Genomic DNA, 18151 nt, shown 5'->3' on the forward strand with positions numbered 1-18151 from the left:
ATTAAAGATGAAAAATATTTTTAAAAATCTAATAAGCATCTAAAGAGATAATAAACATCATTATTAATCAAAGAAATGAAAATGTTCAATAAGATACCATCACACACTCACTAAAATAACTAGAATGAAAATTTAGGCAATGCTAATTTTTTGAAAGATTTAGAGTAAATGATAACTATTGTGCTCAATAAGTTATAATATAAATTTGACAATTGCATAGGAGAACTTTTTGGCAGTTTCTAATAATACAATTTAAAATACACATATTCTATATCCTATAAATTTACATGATGAAATATTATACAGTAATAACAATAATTGATAATTGCCATACAGAATGACAGTGAGGAATATTAAAAATATAGTATTACAAACATAATATTTCAAATATAACATGACAAATAATATTATAAGATACAAAAATTACATATTGACCGATTCAAATTTTGCAAAATTTAAAAACCTATGAAATGAATCTATAATATTAAAAAAGCACAATAGTGGTTATCCCTGGAAAGTAAGTAGAGAATGGAAGGTGAATAAAAAGGGGTTCTGTGATTCTGCTACAATTCTGTTTCTTGACTTGGATGCTGGTTTTACACATGTGTTCAGTTTGTAAAAACTTATTCAACTGCACACTAAGTTTTATAGAATTTTCTCTTTTAAAGTATACACCCATATAAAGTTAAAACATTGGCATGTTAGGTATATTAGGATATATAAAAAAGCATATTCATTTGTATACATATAAATAAACAGCTCTGTGTAAATAAGTAGCTACTAATAATGTCAAGCCTATTATTTTAATTAATCTTCATGAGAAATTTTAAAGGTTGCATTAACAGTCTCATTTTGGAGACAAGAGTATTAAGACTCAGAAAAGTTAATTAGCTTGCACCCAGTGTAATACTGATAGCAAAAGAACAGAAATGGAATTCAAACTCAGTCATCTCTATCTCCAGAGTTTCTTACCACAATTGCACTAAGCAATAAAAGACATGAATAAATCAAAGGAAGCTTTGTCCTATTGGCAAAAAGAAAGGGCTGAATGACTCAGTTTCAGGCTGAGAACACTGAGTTCAGTATGCTGGTTTCCTTCAGGAATAGAATTTTACACATATTATGAGTTCAGAGAGGCTGTGGACAAATTTAATTATAGTTCACCCAATAACCACCACAATTGGATAGAATAGGTCCAGTGAACCATATTTTCTTGGCCACAAAATACCTCCCTTACCAATTTGCCATGACACTTAAAATTTCCACAATTAATCATTAGCTCCCCTTTGGGATGGAGTAGTAGTTTATCCATTGCATTAGAGATAGGGCTCCATGGGGAAATGGAATAGGGTGAGGAAGAAATAAGGTACAAAAACGTGGTTGGATCCTAACACCATAAGAAGTTTTGTGCCCAAGATGCCCAACTCTAGAAATGCAGCCCATAGAAATCATTAACAAGGATCAGTGGAGGACTTTCATTTCGCCTTCCCATTTGATGCTTAATCTTTCCACCCTCGACTTTACTAGATTTGCCATGAGCATTACCGAATATTCATTTACGAGTTAATGGGTGCAGCACACCAACATGGCACATGTATACATATGTAACAAACCTGCACGTTGTGCACATGTACCCTAAAACTTAAAGTATAATAATAAAGTAAAAAAACTAAAAAAAGTATTAACTGGGTGGTGTCTCATGTAATATGACTCACCTAAAGCCAAAAAATAAAAAAACCTACTTGCAATTTTTCAAAAAAAAAAAGAAATAAATAAACAAAATGTAAAATATAAATTACATTTAACCAAAGACAGATTATAAGTCAAATAAGTTGCAGGAACAGACCTCGATTTCAACTTTCCAAAGTAGAACATAAGAAAACTTTTCAGGTGAAAGGAACCTTAGACTCATCTTTTTCAATCCCACATGTTACATATAAGGAATAGGAGACCACGAGGCAAAACGACCCCAGTTACAGATGAGTTAATAGCATAGCTAGTGCTCTTTCCATGGCTCACTCTTTTCTTTGTGCCTTTCTCCATAAAAAATTAAATATCACATCTATGAATGTCTACTGAATACATTTAACTGTGTGAACCTTTACACCGATTTTATCTTTCAAATCTAATATATATGTAATTCATTTTTAAGTGGTAATAGCATATACTTAATGCTTCCCATGTTGCAGACATTTTTCACACATTAACTCACATGTATATCATATATATATTCAGGTATTAACATATATATGTATTAACTCACATATATTCACGTTACATATAGTATGTACTGTTGCATACGCACATATATGGTATAAAATTATTGCACTGTAACATCACAAAGTATATCACATAAGTTAACTCAACCTTCACAAGAACTTTATGAGGTATATACTGTTATTATCACGCTAATTTTACGGAAGAAAAGACAAATGTAAAAAAGCATTAGAAATTGCCCAAGGCCACTTAGATAATAAGGAGCAAAGCCTAGGTTTGGGTCCATCTGTTCATATTCTTACCATTATATTTTATTTTCTTGTCTTTTTCTCATCCTGCCACACTCTTCTATCATCCCTCATTTTCCCTCTCTCTCTAAATTTTGTGTCATGAAGAATTAATGGAAGAAATAAGCTGAATGTTGCCATCGCTTAACCATTACTTCTTTGATGGAGTTTTGGTACTTCATTTGCCTAGCAAAAATTAAATTCTGAAAAAAAATTAAATTTTGAAAAAATTCAAAACCAATGAGAGAACGTTGGTTTTGAAGTTGGACAGGCTTGGATTGAAATTTTATCTTCACCAATGAACAGTTATGTGAACTGAGAAAATTACTTAGTTTCCTGAAAATTAGTTTCCTCTTTGGGTAAAGAGTTCTCATAAAGGTTACTGTCAGATGCATACAAATGCATTATGTACATAGGTCTAGAGAAGTATCTCACATTTTCATGTCTATTGTTGTCATCTCAAGTTCTTCTCCATAAAGAGCTCTTATTACAGTTTGAATCCCTATAGAAACAAGAGTTAAACCACATTCACCATGGAGGAAAGGGTGGTTTCAACATAAATCTGTCATTTATACTGATCTAGGAGGAACACATGAGTTATGAGCAGGTTTCCTCACACCAGCTGTGTATGCGTGATGCCCAACACAGTGAAGGTTTAACAATTAAGCTGGTTTTAAATGTGTAGCATAGAAGGAATCAAAACTGAACATCAGTTGTGATTATTCACTTGTACAGCTCACTAAAGGTAAATTATCAAACAGTGAACTAATTAAGACCATGTAAAAATGTGTTTTCCATTTCTTCAGAGGGCTTTTCGGGTTCTTTGGAAAAAAATCAAACAGAAGGGCTTTATGTATCAGTATGGCCAAATTTTGAAAAAAAATTCTGCTATTTCCCCCAAATGGAAAAAACTAACATTTACTGAGTACCTACAGAATACCATATATATTATTTCAAATAATTGTCACATGGAAATCCTGTATGATATCTGCTGTTACTCTAATTTTCTTGATGAGGAAAATGAAACTCAGGGAAATTAACAATGTATTTGTGTCATATAATTACTAAATAATGGAGCTGGGATTGCAACCTGAATCTAATTTAAAAGTTCTTTCAACTAAACCTGAGATGGTCATTTCTGATAGCTGTGATGACCATAGAAGTGATGCAATGCAAAACTTATTTTATTATTTATGAACATGCCTAACAATCTTATATTAAAGACACCCATCCACACTTGTCTGACCTGCTTGTCTAGTCCTCTAGACCAAAGTTCTATAAGAGCAGAGGCATTGTCTGATATGTTTATCAATATGTTCCCAACACCCAACTCGGTGCCTGCCACCTAGCTAAAAGTTCAGTATTTGTTGGATAAAGAAGTGAATGCTGAATTGATTAAAAAGAATACAGATTAGCTCCACAGTCATATTTTCACAGATGGTGAAACTGGGGGAATAGGGAGTGTTTTGTCTGCAGTTTACCATTGCTCAGTGACAGAATGAAGATTAGGAACCCAAAGCTGTGAATAAAAGCCCATTGCTGAGTTTAACGAACCAAGTCAACAGCAGGCTAAAGGACAGGTACATTATTTAACCTGAGCTGCTGTCCTCCTGAAACAGATGTCAATGCGTCATGATTATATGAGCAGCAGTTGTTTTACATAACACATGACAGAGGTCACAAGTGACCACCACACCATTGCCAGTCAGAGGAGTCCATACATGGTTGCCCCAGCAACTGAAAAGCAGGCTGCAAGACAACCTAATAGAACCCTCCAGCAATCACCACCACTTCCAAGCAATAGGAACACTACATGGAAAGACAATCCACACAAGAAAACACCTTCATAAGAAGCAAAAATCAGGTGAGCAGTCACAGTACCCGGTTTTAAAATCATAACAAGGAAAGCGCATTGAAAAGGGTAGGAAAAACAGTCTTGAATTGCCCACACTGCCACTTCCATCCCCTGGCAGAAGCTGCATGGCACAGAAAAAGAATCTGTGTGCTTGGAGAAGAGCACAGTGATTGTGGGACTTTGCATTGAAATTCACAGCTGCCCTGTCACAGTGGAAAACAACATGGGGGCAGAACCCAGCTGGCACCATCAGACAGAATATTTAGACAAGCCCTAGCCAGAGAAGAATCACCCTTCTCAGTGGTCAGAACCTGAGTTCCAGCTAGCTCCATCACTGTGGGAAAAAGTCCTCTAAGGTCCTAAATAAACTTGAAAGGCAGCCTAGGCCACAAGGACTGCAATTCCTGAGCAAGTCCTGATGCTGTGCTGGGCTTATAGCCTGTGGACTTGGTGGGTGCACAACCCAGGGAGACACCATCCGGGGCAACTAAGGGAGTACTTGTGTCACCCCTCCCCCAAACCCAGGCAGTGCAGCTTGCAGCTCCAGGAGAGACTCCTTTCTTCTGCTTGAGGAGAGGTAAGGGGAAAGTAAAGAGAACTTTGTCTTGGAACTTGGATACCAGCCCAACCACAGTGGAATATGGCACCAGGCAGAGTCCTAAGGACTCTATTCCAGGCCCTTGCTTATGGATGACATTTCTAGATACACTGTGGGCCAGAAGGGAACCTACTGCCTTGAAGGGAAGAAACTAGTCCAGGTAGGATTTATCACCTGCTGACTAAAGGGTCCTTGGGCCTTAAATAAACATCAGTGGTTGCCAGGCAGTACTTATCACGGGGCTTCAGTGAGACCCAGGGTCATGCTGGCTTTAAGTGTGACCCAGCACATTCCCAGCTGTGGTGCCCATAGAGAGAGACTTCTTCTGTTGAGGAAAGGAGAGGGAAGACTAAAGGGCACTTTGTCTTGCAGCTTGGGTACCAACTTGGCCACAGTAGGGTAGGGCACCAAGCAGGCTTCTGGGATCCCCAATTCCATATCTTGGTTCCTGAATGGCATTTCTGGACTCATCCTGGGCTGGAGGGGTGATCACTGCCTTAAAAAGAGAAACTCAGGCCTAGCTGGGTTCACTATCTGCTGCCTGAAGGGACTTTTGTCCTTGAGTGAATATCAGCAGTAGCCAGGCAGTGGTCACTGTGCACCTTGGGTAAGAAATAGTGCTGTGCTGGCTTTGGATCCAGTCCAGTGCAGTCCCAGTGGTGGTGGCCACAGAGGTGCTTGTGTCACCCCTCCAACAGCTCCAGGCAACTCGGCACAAAGAGAGACACTTCATTTCTTCAGGGAAAAGTTAAGGAAGAGGAGAAGAGTCTCTGCCTGGTAATCCAGGGACTTCTACTGCATCTTACCAAGACAATTAAGGTAGTATCTCTACAAGTCTGCAAGAGCCACAGTGTTACTGGGCTTGAGGTATCCCATAATGCAGATACAGCTGCAGTGACCAAAGTTTTAGATCACAACACTTCATTCCTCTTGAATACCTGGAAAGCCTTCCCAAGAAGGACAGATACAAACTACTCCAGACTGCAAAAACTATAATAAATACCTAACTGTTCAATGCCCAGACATTGCTGAACATCCACAAGCACCGATACCATCCAGGAAAACATGACCTCACCAAATGAAGTAAATAAGGCACAAGTGGCCAATACCGGAATGACAGACATATGTGACCTTTCAGACAGAAAATTCAGCATAGCTGTTTTAAGGAAGCTCAATGGAATTCAAGACAACACAGAGAAGGAATTCAAAATCCTACCAGTTAAATTTAACAAAGAGATTGAAATAGTTTTTAAAAATTAAGCAAAAATTCTGGAGTTGAAAAATTTAACTGACATACTGAAGAATGTATCAGAGTCTTCCAACAGCTGAACTAATGAAGCAGAATAAATAATTAGTGAGCTTGAAAACAGGCTGTTTTAAAACACAGTCAGAGGAGACAAAAGAAAAAAGAACAAAAAACAATGAATCACACCGACAGGATCTGTAAAATAGCCCCAAAAGGGCAAATCTAAGAGTTATTGGCCTTAAGGAGGAGGCAGAAAAACAGATAGAGTAGAAAGTGTATTCAAAGGGATAATAACAGAGAAAATCCCAAACCTAGAGAAAGATATCAATATTCAAGTACAGGAAGGTTATAAAACACCAAACAGATTTAACTCAAAGAAGATTACCTCAAAGCATTTAACAATCAAACTTCCAAAGGTTAGGAATAAAGAAAGGATATTAAAAGCAGCAAGAGAAAAAAAGTAAATAACATATAAAGAAGTTCCAGTATGTCTGGCAGCAGACATCTCAGTGGAAACCTTTCAGGCCAGGAGAGGGTGGCATGACATATTTAAAGTACTGAAAGAAAAAAAAAAAAAAAAACTTTCCTCATAAAATAGTATACCCAGCAAAAATATCTTTTAAACATGAAGGAGAAAATGTTTTCCCAGACAAAGAAAAGCTGAGGGATTTCATCAATACGAGACCTGTCCTACAAGAAATGCTAAAGGAGTTCTTCAGTCTGAAAGAAAAGGATGTTAAGCAATAAAAAATCATCTCAAGGTACAAAATCCACTGAAAACAGCAAGTACACAGACAAACTCAGAATATTAGAACATTGTAATTGTGGTATATAAAGTACTCATATCTTGAGTAGAAAGACTAAAAGATAAACCTATCAAAAATAATAATTACAACATCTTTTCAAGACATAGTATAATAAGGAATAAATAGAAATGACTAAAAGTTTAAAAGTGGGATGAATTGAGTTAAAATGTCAAATTTGTATTAGTTTTCCTCTTATTTGTCTGCTTGTTGTTTTTGTTTGTTTTTGAAATCAGTGTTAAGTTGTTGTCAGCTTAAAATAATGGGTTATAAGATGTTATTTGCAAGCCTCATGGTAACCTCAAATCAAAAAACCTACCACAGATACACAGACAATTAAAAGTGAGAAATTAAAGCATACCACTAGAAAAAAAATTACCTTCACAAAAATGAACACGGGAAGAAAAGAAGGAAGAAAGAGAAGACTGCAAAACAACCAGAAAGCAAGCAATAAAATTGCAGGAGTACATCTTTACATATCAATAATAACATTGGATGGAAATAAATGAACATCTTCAATCAAAAGACATAGAGTGGCTGAATGGATTTAAAAAAAAAGACCAAATGGTCTGTTGCCTACAAGGAACACACTTCACCTATATATACACATAGGCTAAAGACAAAGGAGTGGAAAAAGATATTCCTTGCAAATGAAAACCAAAAAAGAGCAGAAGTAGCTATTCTTATATTGTATGAAAGAGATTTCAAGACAAAAACTAGTGATGGACTAAGAGCTCCAGCTGGGGAAGTGTCACTGCCAAGCCTGCAGCCTGACGCCCTCTCAATAGTGCCTGCATTGGGTGTCACAGCACCTGTCTGAGCACTGGGCACACCCAAGGGCAGGCTCAGCTCCCACCCAGCCTTCCCATCTTGGCTGCTGCTTGGAGCCTGTACTGTCACTGCTGCCCTTTCTCTCAGGCCACACAGCCCAGTAAACACAGCCACAAGCTACATCGACAGTGCCCATGTTCTGCTGCTGAGCCACCATGGAGTCACTCAATCCTTGGAGCCTAAATATACACAGCCCTGCTCTCAGACATACTTCCATTAGATTTAATAGCCAGCCTTCATCAATACTAATTTTCAGCTATGGAATCAAACATATATGGCCCTACTCTGGGACACACCTCTACCAGATTTAATAGACATTCCTCATTAACACTTTCAGCTATGGAATTGCAGACAGTTGATGATGAAGCAATGATATCATAAATGAATATCAAGTCAGGGAAGCAGAATGATGCCCAAGGGTGGATGTTCTAAAACGTGACAAGAATTTTCTCTCAGTGATGACATGGCAGAGAAATAAGCTAGGAAAAAATGATAAGATAAAGTTTCTCTAACCAAGACCTCAAAGCTGGACTACAGTGATGGAGGGAAGGAATTGAGAGAGCAAGCCACCAAGCGGAAGCTGCTCTTCACCCTGGGGGGGTGGGCAATGGACAGCAGAAGGACTCAGACACAGATGCTTCCAGCCAGCCCAGTCTCTGTTGTGGTACTGCAAGGTTGATACACTCCCTGAAGCACCACGGCATGAAATGGAGGTTCCTACAGCCAAGAAGAAAGAGAAGCAGGTTCTGAGCAGAAGACGATTAAGAAGGAGCCTGTCATCCAGAAGTCCAGCCTGCTATTTGGCATGGGGCTATCAGGGATCCAAGCCAGCTACCTCATCTCTGAACACCAGCAGGTGACTCTTCCCATGCAGATGACAGCCAAGGAGTCTGAAAACAGCCCAGAGGACAAAACACCAAATCACCCCTCCCAGTCTACAGTGTGTTGGAAGGGAATAGCTAACTCTGCCTCAAAAAACAAAGATAAAGGGAACAAGACAAACAAACAAGCAGAGACCTTTCTGCACTGAGCTGCCATCTGAAGGGATATCCAGGACTTCAAAGGGTTCATTAGTGAGTGGATGGACATCAACACCAAGGTCTTCACAGGCTGGACAGTGCCGCATGTAACATGTAACAAGGGATATTACACGGTTGCAAAGCAGCCACTGGCCCCAGGTACAGAGGTGAACACTAAGGGCCTGGTGAACACTACGCCTTTGCAGAACACCACCAACAACAGGCATGACAAGATTGGCAACTTCCCTTGGCCCTTCACACGTCTGCTCTGTCCTGATGTCTGGGTCATTCTGTAGCTTCGTGTTCCCCTATCCTAGCTAGTCTCATGGTGCTGGGCATGAGGAAGTAAGTTTTTGCCTCCCTAACCTCAAAGACCGGCTGTCCCCTCTATCTGCCCCCAGCTTTCTCACCTTGGATCAGTACCTGAACAGCCTCTCACAGTATTCACAACAAGCACCATCTAAAAAAAAAGGCTTACATCCATGAGACATGCAGGTCTGGTTGTGTTTTATCAGGTGAAGGATTACACCAAGTGGAAGGAGGCCTGCAGGAGTTGCTGCTGGTCCCTGTCGTTGTCACTGTGGGACTGTTAGACCTGCAAGGCAGATCCATCCAAGTCTGGAATGAAGTAATACCATTCCACAGGTATAGCCAGTGCATAGGATGATAGAATCAAGAATCAAAAAATGACGATTATAACCAGCTCAGAAGCAGTGAGCACTAAGACGACTCAGCCTTCATGGAGAAGTGGCTGTTTCCAGGTCTGAAGCAAAGAATGACATGATGTACCCAAAACCCTCTGTCTTGCTGGAAAGGAGGGCTGGAACTCACAGGTGGGGAGGGTCTTAAGTAATCACCACAGCTCTGTGAAGAGCCCCCTGGCCATAGGCAGTATAGTTGGAGTGTGGTAAGGACAAGGCCAAGGGGACAAATGAGGCCACATCTGCTTGCATCCATCATACTCCTTTATGGCAAGTCATGCCTGGCTATTGTGGGAGATGCTGGAATCCACAGTGCCTAGGGTGTAAAAAACAGTTGCAAAAATGACAAGTCACTGTGGGGGATGGAGGGGACTCTGAATTAAAGATTTCTGTGACAATCAGGGAAACCTGAACTGATTACATATTTGATGTTAAAAAAATCCTATTAAATTTTTAGGTAAGATAATGGCATTATGGTTTGTTTTGTTTGTTTTTTTTAAGGGCCCTTCCAGAGAAATGTACTGAAAAAGTCTACGCAATGTCTGGGATTTGCTAAACAATACCTGGAAAGCAGACAGGTATGAGTGGAATGGCACTGGCTGTGGGCTGACAGGTGACGCAACTGGGGCAGGGGGCATCCTTTGAGTTTTTATATTTTTGTAATTATCACTTTTAAACTTTTTATTATTGAGAATGTCAAAGACCCTGGAAACATGGTGAGGTAAGCAAGAAAATGGTCCCCAAGTGCTTACATCACGACTCCAGAAGCTATGGGTATATGACCACACATAGGAGATTATCCAGGATTATCTGGGCTGGCCCAGGGTAACCACATGAGTCCTTGCAGTTTAAGAGCTTTTCCTGGCTGAGCCACACAGATACCAAAAGAAGCAGAAAACATTAGAGCCTGAGGGCCCTCCTCAGGCTTCTTCTGGTATCTGGCTTTGCTGGCCTTGGAGTAGGGGGCCAAGGAATGTGGTGGCCTCTTAGGGGCTGGGAACAGGAACCTCAGTCCCGCTCCTGCCAGCACCTTGACCTTAGCCCAGTTAGGGAGGCAGATTTTGGACCTCTGACTTCCAGAACTGTAGCCTAAGATTGCAGTGATTTGTTGTAAGTTGCAATAGAAAACTCATACACATAAAAACTCTGTGTGGATTAAACAATATAAAATATAATATACTAAATAAAAATAGATTATGTGTGTGACAAGACTCTATATCAAGCTTTATTACAGATTCTTTTAATGCACTAATCTCAGACTGAAATAAAGTTGAAATTAAATTTAATATTTGTACTTGAGTTATGTGTATCACTGTCCTGGTGTATGAAACACAGTTTGCTGATGATGAACAGCTGGACAGCGCTCTGGAAATGTCACCATGGGTGTTCCTGCCACTAATATTACCACCTTTATGCTTGTGAAGTCAAGCAAGGAAGATACTATCTTATATTATAATGTAAATGAAAATGAAAAATAAACCAGCTTACAGAAACTTGGAAAAAGAAGAAAATGTATAAAAAGAGACAAAGAAGGTCATTATGTAATGATAAAGGGGTTAATTCATCAAGAGGATATAATAATTATAAATATATGCACCCAACACTGGAGCCCCTAGATATAAAAAGCAAATATTAGAGCTAAAGCAAGAGATAAATCCCAAGACAATAATAGCTTCAACACCCCACTTTCAGTATTGGACAGATTATCCAGACAGAAATCAGCGAAGAATCATTGGATTTAATCTGCACTATCACATAAATTGACCTAATAGATATTTACAGAACATTTCATCCAATGGCAGCAGAATACACATTCTTCTCCTCGGCACATGCATCATTCTCAAGGATAAACCATAAGTTATGCCACAAATAAGTCTTTAAATATTCAAAAAAATTGAAATAATATCAAATATCTTTTCTGACCACAATGGAATAAAACTAGAAATCAATAACAAGAGGAATTTCGGAAACTATACAAATGTATGGAAATTAAACAATATGCTCCTGAATGACCAATGGGTCAATGAATAAATTAAGAAGGAAATTAAAATTTTATTGAAATAAAAATGGAAATACAACATAGCAAAACCTATGGGATACAGTGAAAGCAGTAGTAAGAGGAAAGTTTATAGCAGTAAACACCTACATCAAAAAAGTAGAAAAACTTCAAATAAACAACCTAATGATGCATCTCAAAGAACTAAAAAAGCAGAAGCAAACCAAACCCATTCTTAATAAAAGAAAAGACATAACAGAGAGCAGAAATAAAGAAATTGAAATGAAGGAAAACAATACAAAAGATCAATGAAACAAAAAGTTGGTTTTTTGAAAAGATAAAGTTGAAAAACCATTAGCCAGACTAAGAAAACAAGAGAAGACTCAAATAAATAAAATCAGATAAAAAAAAGGAGGCATTACACCTGATACTGCAGAAATTCAAAGGATCATTAGAGACTACTACGAGCAACTATATGGCAATAAATTGGAAAACTTAGAAGAAACAGATAAATTCCTAGATGCATACAATCCACTAAAATTGAACCAGAAAGGAACTCAAAACCTGAATAGACCAATAATAAGTAATGAGATCAAAGCCATAATAAAAAGCTTCCTGCAAAGAAAAGCCCAGGACCTAATGGCTTCACTGCTGAATTCTACCAAACACTTAAAGAACAACTAATACCAATGCTACTCAAACTATTCAAAAAAATAGAGCAGTAGGGAACACTTCCAAACTCTGTCTATGAGACCATTATTACCCAGACACAAAAACCAAAGACATCAAAAAAAGAAAACTACAGGCCAATATCCCTGATGAATATTGATGCAAAAATCCTCAACAAACAGCAAATCAAACTCAACAACACATTAAAAAGATAATTCATCATGACCAAGTGAGATTTATCCCAGAGATGCATGGATGGTTCAACATACGCAAATCAATCAATGTGATACATCGTATAAACAGAATGAAGGACAAAAACCATATGATCATTTCGACTGATGTTGAAAAAGCATTTAATTCTGTGAAGAATGTCAATGGTAGTTTAATGGGAATAGCATTGAATCTATAAATTACTTTGGGCAGTATGGCCATTTTCATGATATTGATTCTTCCTATCCATGAGCATGAATATTTTTGCATTTGTTTGTGTCCTCTGTGATTTCCTTGAGCAGTGGTTTGTAGTTCTCCTCGAAGAGGTCCTTCACTTCCCTTCTTAGCTGTATTCCTAGGTATTTTATTCACTTTGTAGCAAGTGTGAATGGGAGTTCATTTATGATTTGGCTCTCTGCTTGCCTGTTGTTGGTGTACAGAAATGCTTGTGACTTTTGCACATTGATTTTGTATCTTGAGATCTTGCTGAAGTTGCTTATCAGTTTAAGAAGCTTTTGGGCTGAGACGATGGGGTTTTCTAGATATAGGATCATGTCATGTGCAAACAAAGACAATTTGACTTCCTCTCTTTCTGTTTGAATACGGTTTATTTCTTTCTCTTGCCTGATTGCCCCGGCCAGAACTTCCATACTATGTTGAATAGGAGTGGTGAGAGAGGGCATCCTTGTCTTGTGCTGGTTTTCAAGGGGAAGGCTTCCAGCTTTTGCCCATTTAGTATGATGTTGGCTGTGGGTTTGTCATAAGTGGCTTTTATTATTTTGAGGTATGTTCCTTCAATACCTAGTTTATTAAGAGTTATTAAGAGAATTCAGCTGTAAATCCATCTGGTCCTTGGTTTGTTTTTGTGTTTATTTGTTTGTTTGTTTGTTTGTTTGCTTGTTTTGGTTGGTAGGCTCATTGCAGCACTATTCACAACAGCAAAGACATGGAATCAACCCAAATGCCCATCAATGATAGACTGGATAAAGAAAATGTGGTACATATACACCATGGAATACTATGCAGCCATAAAAAGTAACAAGATCATGTTCCTTGCAGGGACATGGATGGAGCTGGATGCCATTATCCTGAGCAAACTAATGCAGGAACAGAAAACCAAGCACTGCATGTTCTCACTTATAAGTGAGAGCTGAACAATGGGAACACACAGACACAGGGAGGGGAACTACACACACCAGGGCCTGTCAGGGAGTGAGGTTGGGGGAGGGAGAGCATTGGGAAAAATAGATAATGCATGCTGGGCTTAATTACTAGGTGATGGGTTGATAGGTGCAGCAAACCACCATGGCACATGTTTACTTATGTAACAAACCTGCACATCCTGCACATGTACCCCAGAACTTAAAAATTAAAATTAAGAAAAAAAAAGAAATAAAAATAAACAATGTGATGTTGGTCACTGACTCAAAAATAAAGCACTTACTAAAATACAATATCTCTTGATGATAAAAAAAAAAAACTCTCAACAAACTAGGCATAGAAGGAACATATCTCAACATAAGAAAGGCCATATATGACATACCCATAGCTGATATCATACTGAATGGGGAAAAAATGAAAGCCTTTTCTCTAATATCTGGAACACACCAAGGATGCCTACTTTCACCACTGTTATTCAACATAGTACTGGAAGCCCTAGTTAGAGCAATCAGACAAGGGAGAGAAATAGAAGACATCCAAATTGGAAAGGAAGAAGTCAAATTATCCTTGTTTGAAGACTATATAATCTTATACTTGGAAAAACCTAAAGACTTCTCCAAAAACCTATTAGAATTGATAAGCAAATTCAGTAAAGTTGCAGGATCCAAAAATCAACACACAAAAATAGTAGCATTTCTATATGCCAACAGCAAACAATCTGAAAAAGAAATTAAGAAAGTAATTCCACTTACAATAACTACAAATAAAAAAAAATCTGGGAATAAACTTAACCAAAGAGGCAAAAGAACTCTACAATGAAAACTATAAAACAATGATGCAAAAAATTGAAGAGTTCACAAAAAATGAGAAGATATTCCATAGTCACGGATTGGGAGAATCAATATTGTTAAAATGTCCATACTACCCAAAGCAATCTACAGATTCAATGCAATCCCTATCAAAATACCAATGACATTCTCCACAGAAATAGAAAAATGATCCTACAATTTATATGGAAACACAAAAGACCTAGAGTAGCCAAAGCCATACTGAGCAAAAAGAGCACAACTGGAGGAATCATATTATCTGACATCAAATTATGCCACACAGCTATAATAACCAAAACAGCATGGCACTGGAAGAAAAAGAGACAAATACACCAAAGAAACAAAATAGAGAACCCAGAAACAAATCTACACATCTACATTAAACTCATTTTCAACAAAGGTAGCAAGAACATATATTGGGGAAAAAGATAGTCTTTTCAATAAATGGTGCTGGGAAAACTAAATATCTATATGCTGAAGAATGAAACCAGACTCTGTCTCTTGCCATGTGCAAAAAACAAATCAAAATGGATTAAAAACTTAAATCTAAGATCTCAAACCATGAAACCACTGTAAGAAAACATTAAGGAAGCTCTCCAGGACATTGGTCTAGGCAAAGATTTCTTGAGCAGTACCCCAAAAACACAGGAAAACAGAGCAAAAATCCACCAATGGGATCACATCAAGTTAAAAAGCTTCTGCATAGCAAAGAAAAGAATCAACAAAGTGAAGAGACAACCCACAAAATGGGAGAAAATATCTGCAATCTATCCATCTGACAAGGGATTAGTAACCAGAATATGTAAGGAGCTCAAACAAATCTATAGGAAAAAAATCTAATAATCTGATTAAAGAATGGGCAACAGTTCTGAATAGACATTTCTCAATAGACATACAAATGGCAAACAAGTATATGAAAAGGTGCTCAACATCATTGGTCATCAAAGAAATGCAAATTAAAACTACAATGAGATATCGTCTCACCCCAAGTTAAAATGACTTTTATCCAAAAGACAGGGAATAACAAATGCTAGTGAGGATGTGGAGAAAAGGGAACTCTTGTACACTGTTGGTGGGAATGTAAATTAGTACAACCGTTATGGAAAACAGTTTGGAGTTTCCTCAAAAAAATATAAATAGAACTACCATATAATCCAGCAATCCCACTGCTAGATAAACCCAAAAGAATGCAATTCAGTATGTCAAAGACATACCTGTACTACCACGTTTGTTGCAGCACTATTCACAATAGCCAAGATTTGGAAGCAACTTAAGTGTCCATCAACAGATGAATAGATAAAGAAAATGTGGTACATATACACAATGAAGTACTATTCAGCCATAAAAAAATAGATCCTGTCATTTATTCCAACATAGATAGAACTTGAGGTCATTATATTACATGAAATAAGCCAGGCACAGAAAGACAAAGTTCACATGGTCTCACTCATTTGTGGAAGCTAAAAGTTAAAACAATTGAACTCATGGAGATAGAAAGTAGAAGGATGGTTACCAGAGGCTGGGAAGGAAAGTCAGGAATGGAGGGAGAAAATGAGAATGGTTAATGGGTACAAAATATAGTTGATAGAATGAATAAGATCTAGTATTTAATAGCACAACAGGGTGACTGCAGTCTACAATAATTTATTGCACATTTTAAAATAACTAAAAGAGTAATAATTGGATGGTTTGTAACACGATGAAATGATAAATGCTCAAGGTGATGGATACCGCATTTACTCTGACATGATTGTTACCCATTGTATGCCTGTATCAAAATAACTCATGTACCCCATACTATATGCTATACTATGCACCCATAAAAATTAAAAAGAAAGAAAGAAAAGAAGTCTGCAATAAAAATCCAAAGAATGTATTCTCTCTTATTTCATTCTTCTCAAAAGACAATAGTGTTCTGCAATGCACTCTTCTTTTCCTCTACAACTGGGCAGTAAGCAGGGCTATTCATTCAATCTTCTAGGCATCAAATTGGGAGAGAAAAGTATTTTTCATTCTTGTTATGAAGCATCAAGAGACTATTCAGTAGTACTTGCCAGTTCCCAAAATTATACTGACATTTAAGGGGTAGTTAGAGAAATAAGAATCCACAAAAGAAATGGAAGGAGCAGCTAGATAAGAAGAAGGAAAGCTAAGAGGTCATTGTCCTCTAAGTCAAGGTTGCAAAGCATTTACAACATTTCTCTTTATAGTAGAAGGAAATGAGCAACAGTATCAAATTCAGCAAGCTGAGAGCTTAAGTAAATGTGGAGAGACAACTATTATATATACCTGCTGGGAAGTCATAGCAACCTTAGAAGAGAGCTGGTCTGGTGTAGTACAAATGTTGATTTGTTATTCTGACTCTTCCATGGACTGCACTCCTTAGAAGCAGGTCTGAATGTTTTGGTCCCCACAGTACCTAGGACAGTGCCTGGAATGTAAGAGGCACTTAATAAATGTTTGGCAAATGAATGAACTAAAACAAAGTAAAGTATGTAGTTGATTTGGAGGGAAAAGATCCCAATGACATTTAAAACTGCTTGTAATAAGATGCACCAATATTTCCTTAATTAAATCCCTAAGTCTAAAATTATCACCATATATTTGGCTTCTTCCCCAAAGGCCCTGAAGCCAAAACAACTCAGTTCCTAAGGAGAATATATAATCTGCCACCTACAAAGATAAAGTCTCAAACATAAGAAGCAACCCTAAATTTCTGTGCTTAGAGTGACCTTTTGAGTTGCCAGAGTGATGTCATTAGTGTTACAGTTTTCTGCAAGGTTAGGCATATAAGTATGTGTTAAATAGTTCCATGGGCTCCTGCTTGCTCATTTAATAAAGAAGAGTTCATTAAGAGTATCCCAAATGCGTAGCTCAGGGCCACTGACACTAGAAAACTGCAACCACTTTGTTCTTTCCCTGCCCCGTATCTCACTTGTCCTTGCAGCTGTCACCTTGAGGCCTCAGCACTGGTAGGAAGTGAGAAGACACTGAGAAGTGGCACCCAGTAGAAGCTTCTAGAAACAGAAAGAGTATCCATAAATAATTAAACTTATGAAATCAGAACCTGAGAGGTTATAGTCATGTTTCTCGGCTGCCCATCATAATTACCTGGACAGCTTCCAAAAATACATTAATGCCAGAGGCCCACTCCCAGAGATTCTCACTGGCCTGGAGTGAGATCCAGGCACCAGTATTTTTTAAAATTCTTCCAGATAATTCTAATGTGTGACCAGCATTCAGAGGCACTATCTTTATGTCTTTATATCTCAGAATGGGTATCAGAACTTAATGCTAATGAGAAAGTACTTCAGATTTTATCACCCTATGTCTCAGAAAACCACTTTTCCTCTATTGAGTGCCACTGACCCATAAGAAAAAAGATCAATAGTCTAAATGTACAAGTACAAAGTGACTTAATCGAATTTTTTTACAAAAAGAGAAAATTCAATCCATTTGTTTTTAAGTTTAATAACGGGGTGAAAAAAGAGTAAACTATTGGTTAGTGTGTGCCACTAACCAATTATTATGTTATTATGTTTCATGGTCTACTTTAAACACTTTTACATGTATTGTTTTACTTAGTCTCCCAAGCAACCCAGAAAGGCAAATATTATTATTCCCATTTTTACAGCTGAGGAAACAAAAACTCAGAGACGTTAAATTGACTTGTCCAAAGTCACAGAGTTGGCATATGGTGATGCCAGGAGGCAAACAAACAAATGGCCCCA

At 37.8% G+C, this 18151-nt stretch overlaps 1 protein-coding gene and 1 long non-coding RNA gene across 6 annotated transcripts in view; one reads left to right on the forward strand and one right to left on the reverse strand.

The window, feature by feature from the left end:
- The window catches only part of KCNMB2-AS1 (KCNMB2 antisense RNA 1), a 334939-nt gene that overhangs the window by 259617 nt on the left and 57171 nt on the right, over positions 1–18151 (reverse strand). The window contains exon 3 of one of the 2 annotated variants that reach the window (NR_126561.1): positions 16710–16851. The exons of the other annotated variant lie outside the window; for it this stretch is intronic. This is a non-coding gene — a long non-coding RNA (KCNMB2 antisense RNA 1). The remainder of the gene's footprint in view (positions 1–16709; positions 16852–18151) is intronic. 2 annotated transcript variants of the gene reach the window in all.
- The window catches only part of KCNMB2 (potassium calcium-activated channel subfamily M regulatory beta subunit 2), a 307994-nt gene that overhangs the window by 248648 nt on the left and 41195 nt on the right, over positions 1–18151 (forward strand). For 2 of the 4 annotated variants that reach the window (XM_011512325.3, NM_005832.5), the window contains exon 2: positions 10059–10135. The exons of the other annotated variants lie outside the window; for them this stretch is intronic. The gene's annotated coding sequence lies outside the window, so the exon portion shown is untranslated. The remainder of the gene's footprint in view (positions 1–10058; positions 10136–18151) is intronic. 4 annotated transcript variants of the gene reach the window in all.

This window comes from Homo sapiens, chromosome 3, assembly GCF_000001405.40.
Source record: "Homo sapiens chromosome 3, GRCh38.p14 Primary Assembly".
NCBI lineage: Eukaryota > Metazoa > Chordata > Mammalia > Primates > Hominidae > Homo > Homo sapiens.